Source organism: Homo sapiens, chromosome X (assembly GCF_000001405.40).
Source record: "Homo sapiens chromosome X, GRCh38.p14 Primary Assembly".
NCBI lineage: Eukaryota > Metazoa > Chordata > Mammalia > Primates > Hominidae > Homo > Homo sapiens.
In genome coordinates this window covers 147087889-147097678 of record NC_000023.11, presented here as the reverse complement: position 1 = coordinate 147097678, position 9790 = coordinate 147087889, and positions in this window count along the sequence as shown.

Genomic DNA, 9790 nt, shown 5'->3' with positions numbered 1-9790 from the left:
ATTGGGTGGGAATTTCCTCATCCTAATAAGCCTGGGAGCACTACAGGAGACCAGGGCTTATTTCATCCCTTATCTACATATCTACAACCGTAAAAGACAGACATCCTCAGAGTGGCCATTGTAGAGGCCTACCCCTAGGAACACATTCTCTTTCTCAGGGATGTTCCTTGCTGAGAAAAAGAATTCAGTGATATTTCTCCTATTTGCTTTTGAAAGAAGAGAAATATGGCTCTTTCTGCCCAGCTCTCAGGCAGCCATACCTAATGGTTATCTCCCTTGTTCCCTGAACATTGCTGTTATCTTGTTCTTTTTTCAAGGTGCCCAGATTTCATATTGTTTAAACAATTTGTGCAGTTAATGCAATCATCACAGGGTCCTGAGGTGACATACACGCTCAGCTTACGAAGATGATGGGATTAAGAGATTAAAGTAAAGACAAGCATAGGAAAACACAAGAGTATTGATTGGGGAAGTGATAAATGTCCATGAAATCTTCACAACTTATGTTCAGAGATTGCAGTAAAGACAGGCGTAAGAAATTATAAAAGTATTAATTTGGGGAACTAATAAATGTCCATGAAATCTTCATAATTTATGTTCTTCTGCCATGGCTTCAGCCGGTCCCTCCATTTGGGGTCCCTGACTTCCGGCAACAGAAGATTAAATTCACTGTTGGAGGACTTTCTGAATCTTTCATTTACTTTTTTTTCCTCGACTTCTTACCTTTTTCCTGACACTTTTCTCATTGACAAGTAAACATGCTTAATTCCCTTCCGTCTTGAGGAATCTGTCTCCCACCCCATTTCTCTTCTCTTACCTTCTCAGTAAAGCCTATTGAAGAACTTTTCCTCAGTCACTAACTCAAGTTCCTCATCTTTCATTTAACCTGAATGAACTCCAAGCTCACTCTGTTTATATAGCACCTCTGTAAGTCTAACAGCAGTCTTACTACAGAGCTCCTTTCGCTAAGTCTTGTGAGCACTTTTTAGTTCTCATGTAACTTACACTCTTAGCACTAAACACTATTCAACACTTCCTCCTCCAAGACACTCTTTTCTTTTTAACTTGTGTAGAGCACCGTGGTTAAGAGAATAGGCTTCTAAGTTACTCCATTTGAATTCAGGCTTTCACTTAAGATAACCTTGGGCAAATTAATTAACCTTTTTGCATTTCATTGTCCTTACCTGTTAAATGGAGAAAATAGTACCTATCCAACTCTTAGGGTTATCAGGAAAGATTTAATGAGGTAATGCATATAAGGAGCCCTCTTGACATATAACATGTACTCAATGAATGTTTTACATGATAATAATATTATTCTACTGTATCTCATTACAGTGTGTGTGTATGCATGCATGCACACATTCACATATACATTTATTCTTCTCTGTCTCTTCTTAGCTTCCTTCTAAGGACAACATTTGTGCATCCTTTAAATGTCTGTATTCTCTAGGACTACTTTTTTACTCTCTTCTCTATACTCTCTCAGGGGTATCTCAGTTATCCAAATAGATTTAATTAGAATTTAATTGCCGATGACTCTCAGATCTATTCTTAGCTGACATCTTTTTTTCTGAACTTCAAACACATCTATTTGCATATTAAACATTTTCAATATATGAAAAAGAGGAACCTCCAAATCAACATGTGTAATACTGAACTCATCAATCTGTAGTCCCAAATATGGTTTACTTCTAGTTGGCTCCATCTTAGGAAACACAACCATCACTCAATATCCCAAGTTAAAAATTGAATAATCTTTCTTTTTTTACCATGTGCAATGCATCTGGCAGTCATGCTGACACCAGGTGCTGTTTTGATCATTAGAATGCTATATAAAAATTCTCTCAGGAAACTCAGTCCATTGAGAAGTGCAGACATATCATTTCAGTATAACTTGGTAAGTGCTAAACCTTGTCTACCATTTCCCCACTTTTTCCTCTTATTAAATAGAATATTCCTTTGTCCAGTTGCCCAGGCCAAAAACCCGAGTTGTCTTAAATTTAATTTCTTTATTTTCCTTACTCTTACATATAATTCATTAGAAAATCCTATCAGTCCTATCATCAAATCTCATGCAGAATCCATTCACTTTAATGCCATCCCACTGTCATTATTTCCATCCAGTGGCTGTCACCTAAGACATGTTTTTGCCCCCATTCAGAGAACATTTAACAAAATCTGGAAACATTGTTTGGTTGTCACAGGTGGAGAGGGTGTTATTGGCAAGTAATGCCCTTTAATGAAGGCCAGGGTTGCTACTAAACATCCTGCAATGGACAGTATAACCTCCCACAGCAAAGAATTACCTGGCTCAATATGTCAATAGTGTTTATGTTAGAAAAGCTATTCTAATACAAGTTAGGGTTATTTCTTATTTTCACAAGTATGACTGCCTCTTAATCAGTTTCCTACATCCATTCTTTCTGTGTCACACACATTGGTACTCATCAACCCATCCACCACAGAGCACACAGAATGATCCTACATACACGTGACACATTATATCCTGCTTACATTATCAGTGTTTTCCATTTACAACCACAAAGATCCTAGGACCATGTTTTGAACACCACAGCTGAAATTCTCAATAGTTTCTGAATGGATAAGCAATGTGATTAACTGGCTACCTTGATGCTTTATTGTTCTTTGTTTTCCTGTTTTGTACATGCTTGGTAAAACAGAACTAACCAATGAATCTGCAAGATTCACATATAATTAATGTTCAATCTATTAATTGAATAATTTTCTTAATAGCTTAATCACCAGATGGCAGAAATAAGATATTACCTCTTTTTCCCCTGCCCACCAAGCAAGTACTCTGTCACAAGGACTGAAATACTGGGGGAAAGAGCAGAGACGATAAAATATTGAATAGTGCTGAGTTATTTTATGTTATCTCAAAGCATTGACTCACTTTCTTTGCGTGTGTGTGTGTGTGTGTGTGTGTACCCTAACCTGATAATATGTCTCCTTATCTGACCTCGTCCTTGTAGACTTTACTGGGATGATCCTAAATAAGTATAATATAGAATATATATATATATATATATATATATATATATATATATATATATATATATATATATAGTACTAGGTCCATATATATATATAACACATAATATAAAAGTTTCAGTAAGCTGTCTTCTTAAAAAATATGTTTTGTCATCTTTATTACATTTTGAATATACCCCATCTTTTCTTGGGAATATATCTTGGGTCCATATACATGGACCTGATATATATATATATATATATATATATACACACACATACATACATACACACACACACACATATATATACATGCACATATATACATATATATATACATATACATATATATTATATATAATATATGGACCTGGTACATTAAGCCAAGAGTAATCTTTGTGCCATAATATTAAGCCAAGGAAAACACACACACACACACACACACACACACACACACACACACAGATAGATAGACAGATAGATATATATAGATATTCTTAGCGCTGGAATACCATCCTGGATTTCTTCCTAAAAACTGGAAGGCTGTAATATAATACACACACACACACACACACACACACACACATTTTTTAAAAAGAAATCCAGGGTGGTATTTTTTGAGCATATTTCTGCCTTCTTCTATTCCTCCTTCTTTTGTTTGCTTGGAAAGTTTATCTGTACAGAAACTGTGTAGAAAGAGACTATTATGAAATACTACATTGCACCTGATTAAGGTGAAGTTGGGAAGAGTTATTGAATGTTTACTCATTGGCAGGCCAGGTTTTCTCCACTCACATAGCTGCTTCTCTACACTCAATCTTGAACTAAGGGTACAGAGAAGTTGCCCGAATGATTCCACACTCTTCATCATATTCTTCCAATTCTATAAAGGTACACACCTAATATGCTGGAGCATCTTGTACCTGAGTGGCCTTTCCTTCTGCCTGTAGAATGGGTTTCAAACAATCCTAAATGCGAAATCTATATTAGTATATTCCTCTCCTGATATTTACTCTGCTCTTTGTCTCACATCTGGAGTATTCCTTATATAAAACACCTTTTCACTTTAAAAGATAAAACAATGCTTTAAAAGGAAACATAGACAATTAAGTTCCGATTTTTTTTTTTTTTGGCTGTATTCCTCTGGACATATCCTTTTCCTTTAATGAATAAAAATCAGAAGCTCATAGCTTAAATGAAATGGCTGAAAGTGGATGGTGAAACATATTGCTTATAAAATTTCTTTTTGCCCTTGAATTAAGAAAACAGACATTGAGAAACGAGGAAGTTATGGTACTTAATTTTATAGGTGGTCCTCTTCTAGAAATTGCATTTTCCCATTTCCAGAAAACGATAGGGTATATTCAAAATTGTAATAAAGATGACAAAATATTTTTAACCAGATGGCTTACTGAACCATGGTTTCTAGTTACATCTTTTATAATTACTGGACATATTTATTAATCTACTAATTTATAAAAAATTAAAAATTGTATCATAAAACTACTATCTTGTTTAGATGCCAACGCTAGTAGTGTGCTATTTTAAAAATAGGATACTTATGTTTTAATTTGGAAATCTATCAAAATATAATCAATCACTCACAGTCTCATTTTGAAATTGCTTTTTTTTGAGACGGAGTCTTGCTCTGTCACCCAGATTGAAGTGAAGCGGCCTGATCATAGCTCACAGCAGCCTTGAACTCCTGGTCTTGAGTGATCCTCCCTTCTTAGCCTCCCTAGCACCTGGACTACAGGTTCAAGTCAACATGCCCAATTAATAATTTTAATTTTGTGTAGACATAGGCTTGCTATGTTGCCCAAGCTGGTCTCTAACTCCTGGCCTCAAGCAATCCTCTCATCTCAGCCTTCCAAAGTGCTGGCATTACAGGTATGAGCACCACATCCAACTTGCAGTTGCTTTTAAATAACAAAATTTACTGTTTAATGTTATCAACTTCTTTTAAAATGTATTCCCTTACGTTGATAGACATGCAACTATGCAAGTGCAAAATGTCTAAGCAAAGTTAACCATTCTGTTAGTAAAAAAAAAAAATACAAATAGTGATCATTTCTAAATGCTTTAGAATTCTTTTTTAAAAATTAGTATAAACATCTTATCAGCATGTAATGTGATTTTTATTCCATTGTAATTTTTCTATATTGCTCGGAGACCTGATTCTGTCAACTACAATTCAAGAACTGGAGCAAGAAATACAAAAGGGGGAAAGAGAAATTGATATTTCATTGGTGGAAGTCCATCTGATATGACAGTAATCTTGAATGAGAGAAAGAAGAAAGATGGTATGCTGAATGAATACTGCTAGTAACGTCACATATTTCTTGTGTATGAAGTTCTATTTATTTATGCCAAACATAGTGTATTGCCTAATCTAAAGAAAATGGCTTCTTATTTTCCATATGAGTAGACTAGCTGAGTAATATTTCACACTTTCATGATTTGTGATTTTGTTCTTGATTTAATTAGACAAAATTAAATATTTTACTTTCCCTCCCTCCTTTCACACTTATGTCTTACTTTCTCTGTATTTTTATTCCTGTTATTTTTTGCATCTCATCTCTATCTCCTTTTTGTCTTCCTATCTCTCTGTCTCACACTCTCTCTTCCCCAGTATAACTATATCCCCCAGACAGAGAGATCAAGAGATTCATAGGTAGACACAAAGATACATAGAGGTTAATAAAGATAGATAGACAGATATAATTACATATAATTTCACACTATACACGCATACATTTTTACTTACACATATTTGTACATATGTTGTGAATAGTTAGATAAGATATATAGAGAAAACTTTAATACATTTCAAATATATGAGCTATTTTTTCCTTCAGTAAATTTTAAGTGTCTTATTGTCTGTGACTATATCTCAGGTTAAAAATAAAAATAAAAAAGACAAAACCTTTTATATCACCTGGTGCAGACACAAGCGTTAATAGAGTGTTTCATATTAAAAAATCTTTAGTCAATTAAACTAAATCTTTTTTTATTTATCTCTTTGAGTGTTTTAGTATCTTTCATGGAACACTAATGTCTGTTTCCCACCATGTGAACTCTCCTGTGGGGTTTCTCCACTAAATCTAATGGCGATTTTTTTCCCTTTGTATTTTTTAAATTTAAATTTAATTTTTTTTGAGAGAGAGATGGGGTTTTACTAGGTCGCTCAGGCTGGTCTGGAACTCCTGGACTCAAGGGAACCTCCCACCTCAGCCTCCAGAGTAACTGAGATTACAGGCACCAGCCACCATGCCCAGCTTTCCTTTGCATTTTTAAAATTCTGAGTTGTATTTCAGTGGGAGTTGTTTTCGATTGGAATATTTCCTGCCCTAGCCAGGGAGGCAACTGTATGAGACAGTTCCATATTTGCTTCTCTGGGCCTGAACAGATTTCACTTATTATGGACTGGTTTTAACCTTATAGTCTTTGAGTTCTCACACTTCGTGGGTAGTGAGTATTTGGACCTCATTGCCTGTGTATGGGAGAGGTTTGTGATTTTGACTACTAATAAATTACCCTTTCCACATAAGTGACTAAGGGCAATCAGTCGCTTTCCTGTATCCAAAGGCCATCTGGTTAAGGTTTTGTTTTACATTTCACAGGGCAGCCCTGCCTAGCTCAAGGTTTTATGCAAAGAGCACAATTCCGGATCTCCGCAACCTGGACCTACAGCCTCCACAGCATTCCCTACCTTGGTCATGACAGGGGAGTCACAACCTCAAACCTGTACTGAAAAACATCATTCTAATCTGATGCAGACTTTCCATTCTTAGCTACGGTTCACCACTTTGGAATCAACACTTTGGCTTTAATTTTTTTTTTCCTTTCTCCTGGCACACAGATATGTCCTTTGCTTTCAGGATCTGCTGATTACTATTTAATATAATAATTTATTCTGCATTTTTCTGTCCTTTCAGTAGCAGGGTGAGGATCATTTTCCGCATCAGCTCAGTCGGCTATATTAATTGGAAATTAAGTTTATTAATAGAGATGCTTACTTTAGCAGAGATTCCAGAGCACACACGAGTAGGTAGGAAGGTCAACCTACAAAATAAAAAGCGTCTAGCCCTTGGGAATTCTTTCTGATATTGTCTTTGGAAATCAAGCTCAGGATGAGCCATTCTCATAAAGAAGATTATTATATTTGCCTTATCAGAGAAAGGCATTTATGTAATAGGCTTTCTAATTTGCTTGCTAAATCCCAGAAATAATGCTTTCATGATTTAATGCAAAAAGTTTCAGAGGATTTTTTTCATGCAAATAATAATCTATCCTCTCTTTCCTTAGGGAGAAAAAAAAATCTCATTTTCACTCCTTACTAAGGTTCATAAGTATAATCATTATCCACAAACTGAATCCATAGCTACTTAATATCCAGTTGAACTTTTATAATTTTTGTCACTTCCGTAACTAGGTGAGCTCAGTTTCTTATTTGCCATTGCTATCTGAATGTTTAGTTAGTATAAGCAAAATATCCATATCAGTAAATTGATAAATTTTAAAAAGTTATTCTGATTTATAAAACGAATATGCATTCACTGGAGAGAATGTGAAATAATCATGATGGTGTAAGGAAATATCAACACATTCTACTTCAGAAAATTTCTTATATCAGATTTAACCAATATCTCTGTGTGTGTGTGTGTACAGTATTTTTATATAGTACTACAGTTGAACATATGTGTGTACGCACATGCGCACATATACAGATGCGGAAAAGCATGCAGAAGTACCTGTATGTGTTCAAGCATATCAACACAAATATCTATACCTGTGCCATGCATATATATATAGTGGCCATACAGTCTGCTTTAGTTGGCTCAGGCTGCCATAACAAAGTATCACATACCAGATGTTTTAAGCAACAAAAATTGATTCCTCACAGTTCTGGAGCAGTTCTGGAGGCTGGAAGTCCCAAACCAGGGTATTAGCAATGTTGGGTTTGGGTGAGGATCCTCTTCCTGACTTACTACCTTCTTGCTGTGTCTTCATATAATGGAGAGAGATCTCTGGTGTGTCTTCCTCTTTTCATAAGGGCACCGGTTCCACTGGATTTGTGCTCTACCCTTAAAACTTCCTTTAACATCCTTAAAGGCCCTACCTCCAATATAGTTTCATGGGTGGAATGGAGGGGGAGGCTAAAGCCTCAACATGTGAATTTGAGCAGGGAGACACAATTCAGTCCATAGCACAGTCAATAATGTTTAATTTTTAAAATTAAAATGATAATGTAGATTTTTTATATTAAAAAAATTAGTTTCCATAGTAATAAACGATTTGAGACTTACAGGGGACAGAGATAATATTTTAATGAACATTCATACTCCTCCCACACTTTTGATATATATTGTCATTTAGCCATAATTGACTAAAATTTTTATTTGATCTTGTTTTACTATTTAGAAATAAAATGTTACTGATTCAGTGGAGACCCTTGTGTAATTTTCTCTGGCCCATTAACTCCTCTTCTCCAGGCATAACAGCAGTCTTTAGCTAGGTGATCATGAGTCTCTGCATTTTTTGATAAACTTTTTCTAAATCAAGTCTAAACTTGAGTGTCTGCAAACCTTGACACTGAGGGCTACATCAACATGTGTCTTCAATTAAACTTGAAAGGCAGTCTAGCCCATAAGGACTGCAATTCTTAGGCTATTCCTAGTGCTAAACTAGGCCTAGAGACAGTGGACTGAGTGGGCATAGGACATGCTGAGACACTAGCCAGCTGGGGCAGCCAAGGGAGTACTGGCATCACGACTCTCAGGATGCACAGTCTGCGAATCCAAAAGAGACCCCTTTCTTTTACCTTGAGGGAAGGAGACGAAAGAGTGGGGAGGACTTTGTCTTGCAAATAAGTTACCAGCTCAGTCACAGCAGGATAGGGCACTTATGAGAGTCACGAGGCCTCCATGGGGGCCCTAGCTCTCAGACAATAATTTGCAGGCCCTACCTCCCGGACAATGTTTCCGGACACACCCTGGGCCAGAAGAAAACGCACTGCCTTGAAGGAGAAGACCAAGTCCTGGCAGCATTCATCATCTGCTAACTGAAGAGCTCTTGGGCCCTGAATAACCAGCAGCGATACCCAGGTCCTACACTGAAAGAGTTTGGTGAGCCTCTGAGAATTGCTGGCTTCAGGTGAAACTCAACTTATTACCAGCTGTGGTAGCTATGGGGCAAAACTCCTCCTGCTTCAGAAAAGCAAAAGGAAAAGTAAATGGGACTTTGTCTTGCACCTTAGGTACCAGCATGGCCACGGTGTGTGTGTGTGTGTGTGTGTGTGTGTGTGTGTGGTGGTGGTGATGGGCGGGGTAGGGGCGGTTAGAGCAAAAAGCAGGCCCTTGGGGTCCCTGATTCTAGAACTTAAATCTTAGATGGCACTTCTGGGCATTCCCTGGGCCAGAAGGGAGACTACTACCCTGAAGGGTGAGTCCCAGGCCAGGCAGCATTCACCACAAGCTGACATAAGAGACCTCGGGCCTTATAGGAACATCAGTGGTAATCTGGCAGTACTCCTTGTGGCTGGGGTTGGCAGTGACTATGGGGTGAGGCTCCTCTGCGTTTGGAAAGGAGATGGAAGAGTGGGAAGGACTGCATCCTGTGGTTTGGGTGCCGCTTCTAAAGTTTTTGACTCTAGGTCCTGACTCCCAGACTGCACTTCTGGATCCACCCAGGGCTGGGGGGATCTTGTCACCCTGAAGGGAAGGACACAGGCCTGGCTGGCTTTGCCACCTGTTGATTGTGTAAGGCCAGGGCCTGGAGAAAACATAGGCAGTAG